This window comes from Homo sapiens, chromosome 10 (assembly GCF_000001405.40).
Source record: "Homo sapiens chromosome 10, GRCh38.p14 Primary Assembly".
Lineage (NCBI taxonomy): Eukaryota > Metazoa > Chordata > Mammalia > Primates > Hominidae > Homo > Homo sapiens.
The window spans coordinates 5,045,131-5,057,769 of record NC_000010.11 but is presented as its reverse complement, the minus strand read 5'-3'; the positions used below and the strand labels follow the sequence as shown (position 1 = coordinate 5,057,769).

Genomic DNA, 12,639 nt, shown 5'->3' with positions numbered 1-12,639 from the left:
GAAAGGGACAAATTCCCTACCAGTCAGCAAGCCATCCCCAGTATGGATCCCCACTGGGACCTTGACTCAGATCATGGGGACTGGAGTCGTAAACATCTGTTGACCTGTGTTCTAGAAGGACTAAGGAGAATTAGAAAAAAGCACATGAATTATTCAATGATGTCCACCATGACTCAGGAAAGGGAAGAAAATCCTTCTGCCTTCCTTGAGTGGCTACATGAGGCCTTAAGAAATTATACTCCCGTCACCCAAATCACTCGAGGGTCAATTGATTCTAAAAGATAAGTTTAATACCCAATCAGCCACAGATATCAGGAGAAAGCTCCAAAAGCAAGCCCTGGGCCCTGAACAAAATCTAGAGGCATTATTAAACCTGGCAACTTCAGTGTTCTATAATAGGGACCAAGAGGAACAGACCCAAAAGGAAAAGCATGATCAGAGAAAGGCTGCAGCCTTAGTCATGGCCCTCAGACAAACAAACCTTGGTGGTTCAGAGAGGACAGAAAATGGAGCAGGCCCATCACCTGGTAGGGCCTGTTATCAGTGTGGTTTACTAGGACACTTTAAAAAAGATTGTCCAATGAGAAACAAGCTGCCCCCTCATCCATGTCCACTATGCTGAGGCAATCACTGGAAGGTGCACTGCCCCAGAGGACAAAGGTTCCCTGGGTCAGAAGCCCCCAACCAGATGATCCAACAATAGGACTGAGGGTACCCAGGGCAAGCGTCAGCTCATGTCTTCACCCTCACTGAGCCCCGGGTATGTTTAACTATTCAGGACCAGGAAATTGACTTCCTCCTGGACACTGGTGCAGCCTTCTCAGTGTTAATCTCCTGTCCTGGATGACTGTCCTCAAGGTCTGTTACCATCCGAGGAATCCTGGGACAGCCTGGCACCAGGTATTTCTCTCACCTCCTCAGTTGTAATTGGGAGACTTTGCTCTTTTCACATGCCTTTCTTGTTATGCCTGAAAGTCCCACATCCTTATTAGGGAGGCATATATTAGCCAAGGCTGGAGCTATTATCTACATGAATATGGGAAACAAGTTACCCATTTGTTGTCCCCTACTTGAGGAGGGAATCAACCCTGAAGTCTGGGCATTGGAGGGACAATTTGGAAGGGCGAAAAATGCCCACTCAGTCCAAATCAGGTTAAAGGATCCCACCACTTTTCCTTATCAAAGGCAATATCCCTTAAGGCCTGAAGCTCATAAAGGATTACAGAATATTGTTAAACATTTGAAAGCTCAAGCCTTAGTAAGGAAATGCAGCAGTCCCTGCAACACCCCAATTCTAGGAGTACAAAAACCGAATGGTCAGTGGAGACTAGTGCAAGATCTTAGACACATCAATGAGGCAGTAATTCCTCTATATCCAGTTGTACCCAATCCCTATACCCTGCTCTCTCAAATACTAGAGGAAGCAGAATCGTTCATGGTTCTGGACCTCAAGGATGCCTTCTTCTGTATTCCCCTGCACTCTGACTCCCAGTTCCTCTTTGCCTTTGAGGATCCCACAGACCACACATCCCAACTTACATGCCCCAAGGGTTTAGGGATAGCCCTCATCTGTTTGGTCAGGCACTGGCCCAAGATCTAGGCCACTTCTCAAGTCCAGGCACTCTGGTCCTTCAATATGTGGATGATTTACTTTTGGCTACCAGTTTGGAAGCCTTGTCCCAGCAGGCTACTCTGGATCTGTTGAACTTTCTAGCTAATCAAGGTTACAAGGTGTCTAGGTTGAAGGCCCAGCTTTGCTACAGCAGGTCAAATATCTAGGCCTAATCTTAGCCAGAGGGACCAGGGCCCTCAGCAAGGAACGAATACAGCCTATACTGGCTTATCTTTGCCCTAAGACATTAAAACAGTTGAGGGGGTTCCTTGGAATTACCGGCTTTTGCCGACTATGGATCCCCAGATACAGCAAGATAGCCAGGCCCTTCTATACCCTAATCAAGGAAACCCAGATGGCAAATACTCATCTAGTAGAATGGGAACCAGAGGCAGAAACAGCCTTCAAAACCTTAAAGCAGGCCCTAGTACAAGCTCCATCTTTAAGCCTTCCCACAGGACAAAACTTCTCTTTATAAGTCACAGAGAGAGCCAGTATAGCTCTTGGAGTCCTTACTCAGACTCGTGGGACAACCCCACAACCAGTGGCGTACCTAAGTAAGGAAATTAATGTAGTAGCAAAAGGCTGGCCTCACTGTTTAAGGGTAGTTGCAGCAGTGGACGTCTTAGTGTCAGAGGCTATCAAAATAATACAAGGAAAGGATCTCACTGTCTGGACTACTCATGATGTAAATGGCATACTAGGTGCCAAAGGAAGTTTATGGCTGTCAGACAACTGCCTACTTAGATACTAGGCACTACTCCTTGAGGGACTGGTGCTTCAAATATGCATGTGCATGCCCCTCAACACTGCCACTTTTTCCCAGAGGATGGGGAACCAATTGAGCATGACTGCCAACAAATTATAGTCTAGATTTATGCCGTCTGAGATGATCTCTTAGAAGTCCCCTCAACTAATCCTGACCTTAACCTATATACAGTTGGCAGTTCATTTGTGGAGAATGGGATACGAAGGACAGGTTATGCCACAGAGATGTAACCATATTTGAAAGTAAGCCTCTTCCCCCAGGGACCAGTGCCCAGTTAGCAGAACTAGTGGCACTTACCCAAGCCCTAGAACTGGGAAAGGGAAAAAGAATAAATGTGTATACAGATAGCAAGTATGCTTATCTAATCCTGCGTGCCCATGCTGCAATGTGGAAAGAAAGGGAGTTCCTAACCTCTGGGGGAACCCCCATTAAATACCATAAGGAAATTATAGAGTTATTGCATGCAGTGCAAAAACCCAAGGAGGTGGGAGTCTTACACTGTCAAATCCATCAAAATGGGAAGAAGAGGGGAGAACAGCAGCATAAGCAGCTGGCAGAGGCAGCAGAAAGGAAAGAAAGAGACAGGAAGTCAAAGAAAGAGACAGAGGGGAAGAGACAGAGACAGAAACAGGGAGACAAAGAGAAGGAGAGAGAGGAAACAGAGTCAAAGAGAAAGAGACAAAGAGAAGGAGTCAGAGAGAAAGAGGGACAGACACAGAAAGTCAGAGTCAGAAAGAGAGGAAGAGACAAAGAAGTCAAAGAGAAAGAGAGATGGAAGTAGTAAAGAAAAAAACAGTGTATCCCATTCCTTTAAAAGCCAGGATAAAGTTCTGTCTACCCAGCCAAGGCATATTTTTCTTATGCGGAACATTGACCTATATCTGCCTCCCCACTAACTGGACAGGCACCTGCACCTTAGTCTTTCTAAATCCCAACATTAACATTGCCCCAGGAAATCAGACCTTATCAGTACCCCTCAAAGCTCAAGTCCGTCAGTGCAGAGCCATACAACTAATACCCCTACTTATAGGGTTAGGAATGGCTACTGCTACAGGAACCGGAATAGCTGGTTTATCTACTTCATTATCCTACTACCACACACTCTCAAAGGATTTCTCAGACAGTTTGCAAGAAATAACGAAATCTATTCTTACTTTACAATCCCAAATAGACTCTTTGGCAGCAGTGACTCTCCAAAACTGCTGAGGCCTAGACCTCCTCACTGCTGAGAAAGGAGGACTCTGCACCTTCTTAGGGGAAGAGTGTTGTTTTCACACTAACCAGTCGGGGATAGTACAAGATGCCAACCGGCGCTTACAGGAAAAGGCTTCTGAAATCAGACAACGCCTTTCAAATTCTTATACCAACCTCTGGAGTTGGGCAACATGGCTTCTCCCCTTTCTAGGTCCCGTGGCAGCCATCTTACTGTTACTTGCCTTTGGGCCCTGTATTTTTAACCTTCTTGTCAAATTTGTTTCCTCTAGAATCAAGGCCATCAAGCTACAGATGGTCTTACAAATGGAACCCCAAATGAGTTCAATTAACAACTTCTACCAAGGACCCCTGGACCAACCTGCTGGCACTTCCCCTGGCCTGGAGAACTCCCCTCTGGAGGACACTACAACTGCAGGGCCCCTTCATTACCCCTATCCAGCAGCAATTAGCTAGAGCAGTCATTGGCCAAATTCCCAACAGCAGTTAGGGTGTCCTGTTTAGAGGGGGGATTGAGAGGTGACAATGTGCTGGCAGGCCTCACAGTCCTTGCCATTCTTGTTGCCTCCTTGGCCTTGGTGCCTACTCTGGCCATGCTTGAGCAGCCCTCCAGCCTACTGCTGCACTGTGGGAGCCCCTTTCTGGGCTGGCCAAGGCCAGAGCCATCTCCCTCAGCTTGCAGGGAGGTGTGGAGGGAGAGGCATGGGTGGGAACTGGGGCTGCGCATGGCCTTGTGGGCCAGCACGAGTTCCGGGTGGGCATGTGCTCAGCAGGCCCTGCACTCAGAGCGGCTGGCCAGCCTGCAAGCCCAGGGCAGTGAGGGGCTTAGCACCTGGGCCAGCAGCTGCTGTGCTCAATTTCTCACCGGACCTTAGCTGCCTCCCCATGGGGCAGGGCTCGGGACCTGCAGCCCACCATGCCTGAGCCTCTCCACCGTCCGTGGGCTCCTGTGTGGCTGGAGCCTCCCTGACGAGCGCTGCCCCCTGCTCCACGGCACCCAGTCCCATCAACCACCCAAGTGCTGAGGAGTGCGGGCGCATGGCACGGGACTGGCAGGCAGCTCCACCTGCGGTCCCAGCATGGGATCCACTGGGTGAAGCCAGCTGGGCTCCTGAGTCTGGTGGGGACTTGGAGAACCTTTATGTCTAGCTAAGGGATTGGAAATACACCAATCAGCACCCTGTGTCTAGCTCAGGGTTTGTGAATGCACCAATCGGCACTCTGTATCTAGCTACTCTGGTGGGGACTTGGAGAACCTTTATGTCTAGCTAAGGGATTGTAAATACACCAATCGGCACTCTGTATCTAGCTCAAGGTTTGTAAACACACCAATCAGCACCCTGCATCTAGCTCAGGGTTTGTGAATGCACCAATCGACACTCTGTATCTAGCTACTCTGGTGGGGACTTGGAGAACCTTTGTGTCCACACTCTGTATCTAGCTAATCTAGTGCGGACGTGGAGAACCTTTGTTTCTAGCTAAGGGATTGTAAATATACCAATCGGCACTCTGTATCTAGCTCGAGGTTTATAAACACACCAATTAGCACCGTGTGTCTAGCTCAGGTTTTGTGAATGTACCAATCGACACTCTAGCTACTCTGGTGGGGACTTGGAGAACCTTTGTGTCTAGCTCAGGGATTGTAAACACACCAATCAGCACCCTGTCAAAATGGACCAATCAGCTCTCTGTAAAACAGACCAATCAGCTCTCTGTACAATGGAACAATCAGCAGGATGTGGGTGGGGCCAGATAAGAGAATAAAAGCAGGCTGGCCAAGCCAGCAGTGGCAACCTGCTCAGGTCCCCTTCCACACTGTGGAAGCTTTGTTATTTCACTCTTTGCAATAAATCTTGCTACTGCTCACTCTTTGGGTCCACACTGCCTTTATGAGCTGTAACACCATGAAGGTCTGCAGCTTCACTCCTGAAGCCAGCAAGACCAGGAACCCACCAGGAGGAATGAACAACTCCAGACGTGCCACCTTAAGAGCTGTAACACTCACCATGTAGGTCTGCAGCTTCACTCCTGAGCCAACGCGACCATGCACCCACCAGAAGGAATAAACTCCGAATACGTCCGAACATCAGAAGGAAAAAACTCTGGACACGCTGCCTTTAAGAACTGTAACACTGCGAGGGTCCACGGCTTCATTCTTGAAGTCAGTGAGACCAAGAACCCACCAATTCCAGACACACCACCCCCGATCCTAACTTATAAGCAAATCATCCTTTTTGAGCTAATGAGTCAGAAAGAAAGAAAACATACAATAATGGAGACCAAAGTAGGTAAAGAATCTTTAGAAGAGAGCACTGAATTATTTCAAAGAAAACAAATTTATTGTCTTTCCCTTATGGCCTGTGGACTTATATTTGGTTAACTGAAGTCTCTAAGCAGGGTAGATTTAGCCAAAGGCGGTATGTCTAATCACTAGCATAAAGACGTCCTCTGTGTCACCATCTACACACAGGGCCTCTGGTAGAACTCACGCAAAGTCCTCCATGTTAATATTTGTCTGAAAATGGATAATCAGGGTGTCCAGCAAGACTGAAGAAAGAAAGAATAATGCGTGATATGAACTGCAATGATTCCATTACTGGGGGGTAGCACAGTGATTTCTAGGAAGCTGCCATTAGTGTGGATGTTAAGAAGTTCATATTCTGATTGCTGGAGAATCTGCATTTTTTGAGAGCATGACTTTATAGTATCTGTATTATCAAAATAATAAATTATTCAATTCTACTCCCCTGCCTGGAACTTAATACATAAAACACAAAGTCAGCTGGGCATAGTGGCTCATGCCTGTAATCCCAGCACTTTGGGAGGCCAAGGTGAGTGGATCACCTGAGGTCAGGAGTTTGAGACCAGTCTGACCAACATGGTGGAACCCCGTCTCTACTAAAAAATACAAAAATTAGGCGAGTATGGTGGCAGGCACCTGTAATTCCAACTACTTGGGAGGCTGAGACACGAGAATCATTTGAACACAGAAGGCGGAGGTTGCAGTTAGCCGAGACCACGCCACTGTACTCCAGCCTGGGCAACAAGAGTGAAACTCTGCCTCAAAACAAACAAACAACAAAACAAAACACACACACAGTCAAATCTTCAAAAACATTCCTGTACATCTGCCTACAGAGCAAAGAGTCATTCTGACCTTTTCTATTTCAAATTCCCAAGGAAAGTAGGAACTCTTTCTGCCCTACTTTGAAGAAGAAGAGGCAAGTTATACGCTCATCACTAATAAATAATTTTGAGTGTGAATGGCTACTGGTAGCAATTAGGCTGTCTTTTATTACTTTATTTATTACCTAGTGCCTGCCTACCTTATGAAACATATTTGGTAATTTTCAGAAATGTAAACTGTTGTGTATGATACAGGGTCCAATATCCAGGAATATGCAATGCATTAAAAATGTATATGTAGAAATAGCACAAAAAATAAAGGGAAAAACAAATGCCTACTTATCCTTAAATATTTCATTGGTGGTAAGAATTACAAATGCTTGCTATTCTTCCTTTCATTTAATAATTTCCTTTTTATGTTTTATTTTCCTCTATATTAATAAAATATCAACAATGGTATCTACCAGTTTTTGAGTTCTTACAATGTGCCATTGTTGTTATGTTTTTCACACATTATCTCATCATCTCTATTACTTGTTAAAATCTCCACTGCCAGCAGTTACATAACTTCTGTTTTCCCTCATTACATGAGTTACTGTCTATGACTACTAAAACCTTCAAAGCATGAAGAAATAGTAAATGCCTTTTGTTGGCTATAGATTATTCCAACAAAGGGGCTTTTGCATCCACACTCCTTCTTTGATTTTAAAATTTCATTATTCTCAGAATTGAGATCTCCATATTGCAGAAAATTAAATCCAAGTGCTCCTATTCACTCCACTAAGGCAGCCTTTCTGGAGGCAAATACAGTGTTTGGGTCATGTGCAAACATCCAAAGAGAAAAAAGAAAGAGATTTGAAATGAGTAAAGACACCGAATTGACAGGATTTAGTGAGCAATTCCATATGGAGAAGGTGAGAATTGGCACCTGGACCACAAGGTTGATGGAAATGTTTTTGATCTGATAAGGAGCTGAGCAGGTTTGGGAGAACATGATATAAGCACAAATTTTGGAAACATCTAATGCGGCCACATGGGCAGTATCCACAGTGTGTCCACTAGACAGTAGTAAAAACACCAGGCCTACATGGAAGGTGCAGATTTGGCAATGATGTCGACTGCTCTGGAAAGTTCCATGGAGTCAGGAGAGCAGAGGCACAGGTTAACCCACACTGACCTCAACCTATAGTTACATATATAGTCCTAAATATTTTTAATAAAGTGAAATTAACACAGGGACAAAGGTACATGGAAGGAATTACAGAAGGAATACAGTGCAAGCTCCTATGAGTCCTCTCCCAGTGATGTTGCACAGAACACACTGATAGAGAGAAAAGTGAGACTCAAATTTCATGTATCTAGTCCCTAATCACAAACATAGTAGTCTCAGGACAGTCTTGGAATACAAGTTTTCTTCCAGTGTAGAAATAGTTTAGTCTATAAAATAAAGTCTCCATTTTGCTCACATTTGTGTCAGAGGACCACTCCTATCATTTTGTTACAAATCTGATGCATATGAACAAGGGCCAATAATTTAAACGTAACTTGTTAGGTTCTAGTCGTTTTTTCTTTTCTCTTAAAATGAGGATATTTTATATCCTCTGGTAATTTTCTCAGAGGTGAGAGTAGTACATGGGAAATTCTCTTTAGTCCAGGTCCAGTATTACCATGTGGTGCTCAAGGCCGCATATCAGAACAGTGATACTCTCCCAACATATTTCATGCACCCCATCTCCACTAAATTTTGCCACAAAAATTCTTCTGTATTATGTCTTCTTAGAAGAAGAAAAGATTTCTTCAGTGTAGAAGGAAACAGAGAAACCACTTCTATTGCCATCAATTTCCAAGAGAGGAGCAGGCAGGCAGTGTTTTTCACTGCTGAGTTTCATGGATTCTGACAAGCTATGAAATAAACATAAATAGAAGAAAAAAAACAGTGCCCCAAATAAACAGTAGATGACCATGCAACCAGACTTCTATGCACAACAAAGGTTGACTTTTTCTCTTTGTACATACAGTATAGCTTTAACCTAGGGAAACTCAGGTTGGAGTCATGCAGAGTAATACACGAACACAAACCTGACAACCCAGGTCAGCTTCCACTTATTCTGGCTTTGCTCTTTTCAACTCTCTGCACCAAAAACATTATTATTACCTCTGGAGGTGCATAGGTGCCAAATCCCAGGACAGGCATGAAGTGACCATCATTTAGCTTCAAACACTGATGTTTTGAATCCATCACTGTCACTCAGCTGGCTAGCAAATGTTTCTTTCTTCTTCCCTCACAGGTTATAAAATCAATGGAGGCAATGCCCTCTGCACACTGCCTAATGGTTAACCAATAGCATGTAAAAGAAAGTATGCATGCCATCTTATGCTGGTTGTGAAGAAAACTGAATCCAGTTCAATTGTTTCTTCTCTAATAAAATTCTTAAGTAAAGCATTTTACAAATAAACTCATTATTTTATCTCTGAAGCAGTTTTGCTTTTCAGAATCTCTATATATTACAAAAATTATTCAATTACTCAAAGATATTTCAGAACAAATTATGACTGTATGTGCAACTATAACAACTTCCAGCTACAAATGTTTTTTGTTTGTGCCATGATGATATCATTTCTTTATTGTGAATCATTTGAAATGACTAACCAACTTTCATCTTTCTTTCTCTCACACACACAATCTTAAAAAATGACTAAGAGTTCTTTAAAAAGATTACCCTCAATAAAAAATTAAAGTTAAAACCCCCCAAAAATGGTATTTTTGCTTTTTTCCTCAGCAAATTTATTGTTTCTTTCTTTTTTGCATTGTAAGAAAAATATTCATTGCTGATGAAGGTACAGTACTGATAAAGATATAATCCTGAATAGGGTGCAAATGAAAAAGAAAATCTGATTATTGGAGTATTGATTAACAGCCTTTGGACTTTGGACGTCATTTGCAATATGCAAACAGTGCCTTTTTTTCTTCCAGCCAGTTTTAATAGAGGCTATTGTAAAGCAACAAACCAAAAAACTGATAACTATTTTATATAATTTATGCTCTTGCTAAACATTATTCCTAAAGAAAAATGAGAAATTACTTGTTTCTGCCTTTACAGGGCAGATTAAAACATGATTGTTGTTTGCATCATGCATGACCAATATCTTTGAGTTGTTTTGCAACGCCCTGATTGCTTCCATTTGCTTTTTGATGAAACAACAAAAAAAGAGAAATAGGTAAATTATTATATATTGACATAATGTAATATTATAAAGTCATGAAAATTTTCACAGAGAATGATTTCAGTAAGATAGTGGATTAAAAAGCTAACAGTGGACACATGGAATCCTCAAGAAACTGTCTAAAATTGACTAAAGTATATGTATTTATTTACCCAGTGTCTTAGTAGAGATTCAGGGTGACTATATGTGGGCGAAGGATTACCCAGGTGCCAAGGCAAGAGATTGAAGGCACAAACTGTTTCAGTATAATATAGAAAATAGCTAGAATAAGAATAGTTATAATAAAAATTAGATATAGAGATGATCATGGACATTACCAATCATTACTACAAACATTGTTAATCATTAGCTTTTAATATTACTCTTTGTTTTATTACTAATATAACCAAGGAATAACCGGTAGGCATACGGTCAGGTGCTGAAGGGACATTGTGAGAAGTGACCTAGAAGGCAAGAGGTGAGCCTTCTGTCACGCCTGCATAAGGACAGCTTGAGGGCTCCTTGGTCAAGCTGTAACACCAGTGCCTGGGAAGGCACCCGTTACTTAGCAGACCATGAAAGGGAGTCTCCATTCCTTGGAGGAGTCAGGGAACACTCTGCTCCACCAGCTTCTTGTGTATCCAGCCCTGCCCACAGTCATCCAGAGGCATAAACCCCTCCCTGTGGTGCTGTGCTTCAATGGCCATGCTTCTTGTCCACTTTCATGTTCCTCCTGTACTCCTGGTTCCTCTTTGAAGTTCGTAGAAGATAATGGTAGAAGAAATAGTGAAAGTCTTAAAGTCTTTGATCTTTCTTATAAGTGCATAGAAGAAAACACTGATGTATGCTGCCTTCCCTCTCTGCTTCAGCTACCTAAAAGGGAAAGGCCCCCTTTCCCATGATCACATGACTTGCCTGACCTTATCAATCACTTGGAGGACTCACCCTCCTTACCCTGTCCCTTTGTCTTGTATGCAATAAATATCAGCACGCCCAGCCATTCGGGGCCACTACTGGTCTCCGCAACTTGGTGGTAGTGGTACCCTGGGCCCAGCTGTTTTCTCTTTATCTCTTTTGTCTTGTGTCTTTATTTCTTACAATCTCTCATCTCTGCACATGGGGAGAACACCGGCAAAGCCCCGTAGGGCTGGACCTTACATCTGGTGCTCCAACGTGGGTTTCTCCCTCACTGTGTGAAGTTGCACTTTGAGTGCAGGACTCAGCAGAGGACTTTCAACGACAGATTCCTGAGGATTGTCGTCATTAAGCTTGGTGGTAAGCTTGGGCACTCAGAGTATCTCAGGGACTCCATGGGACAAGCCAGTACAAAGTACTTGGCCTATTTAAACACTTCATAAAAACCCTTCTTAAAGAAGGAGGAATTTCAGTTTCTTCTGACAAGCTAATTGAACTCTTTGAGGTCGTCATTCTCATTTGCCCTTGGTTTCCAACTGAGGGAACTCTAGAACTTAAAGATTGGGATGAGGTGGGCCAACAGTTTAAAATCGCTCATAGAGGGGAACATGTTATCCCGCCGGCCATTTGCACAGTTTGGTCCTCGGTTCGCTCCATCTTAGAATCCTTGCAGCCATAGGAGGAGGGAATGGAGGGTACTCTACCTTTGCTCTCCTCCGAAGAGGTTGAGGAAATCCTCAGTACTCTCTCTCCAGAGGGCACTGCACAACCTGAAGCCATCATTTTAGAAATGGACCTCCATTCTGATATTCCTTTGGCATCACCAAATACACCACAGCCTACCATGCCTACCGCACCCCCAGTATCACTTTATGAGGACCTTATGAAGGATCTCCTTCCCCCAGATCTAAAAAATCCCTCTGAAATGTACTATCAGCAGCCCTTGTGGCCGGAACCTCCTGTACTGTCTCAGCCCTGCTGTAGGGCTCTCAACCATCCATCTGTTCAGCCCGGTTATGAGGCTGTCAACTCTATCCCTGTTCGGCCCAGTAATGAGGCCCTCAATGCTATCTCTTCACCCAATTCTGCCTTTCCTCTTATGCATCAGGCTCCACAGAAGCCTAACCTGCAGTCCATGCACCAGCCTGGAGTTCAGGCCCTGCAGTCCGTGCACCAGCCTGGAGCTCAGGCCCTGCAGTCAATGCAACAGCCTGGAGTTCAGGCCCCTGAAAGACCTGCAAAGCAGGCAACTGTGCATCAGCCTGGCTTGAAGTCTCTCAACTTCTATATTCAAAACCCCAATTTCTTTTCTGCTTCTGGTCCAGTCACAACTGCTGTTGCTACCCATAAGCAATAGGTTACATACATTCCTGATAATGACACCCCTCTTATGAGGGCCATTTCTCAGGCAAGGGAATACGGGGATCCCGAGGCATGGCCGTTTCCTGTTATTCTACAATCTCCTATACCTGCTGCCCCCATTCTAGCTGCCCCTGCTCTGGCTGCAATGGATCAGCCACCACCTGCTGACCAAGTTCAGCAGGCAGCTGACGCCACTGCCTCTCCAGACCCGCAGCTCAGGGATCAGGCTCCTCAGCCAGTGCAACAAGGGCCTGATGTCCCAGCAGAGCCAGTTCCTGGCATACATTCCATTCGGGCTGTGGTGCAACCTGATCCTTTACACCCTGGTCAGGTCCACCTATGACCTGCTACTTGGGAAAGTTTTTCTTTCAAATTCCTTAAAGATTTCAAAGAGTCGGTTAAACAATATGGTACCAATTCCCCTTTCGTCCGTTCCGCC

The 12,639-nt window shown here is 44.3% G+C and overlaps 1 protein-coding gene and 1 long non-coding RNA gene across 2 annotated transcripts in view; both read right to left on the bottom strand.

The window, feature by feature from the left end:
* Positions 1 to 8,989, bottom strand: part of AKR1C3 (aldo-keto reductase family 1 member C3) — a 58,906-nt gene extending 49,917 nt beyond the window's left edge. Inside the window, exon 1 of the mRNA NM_001253908.2 lies at positions 8,875 to 8,989. Coding sequence (NP_001240837.1) covers positions 8,875 to 8,958 — 84 coding nt within the window. The 5' untranslated portion in view covers positions 8,959 to 8,989. The remainder of the gene's footprint in view (positions 1 to 8,874) is intronic.
* The window catches only part of LOC107984198 (uncharacterized), a 47,905-nt gene that overhangs the window by 23,202 nt on the left and 12,064 nt on the right, over positions 1 to 12,639 (bottom strand). The window lies entirely within an intron of this gene.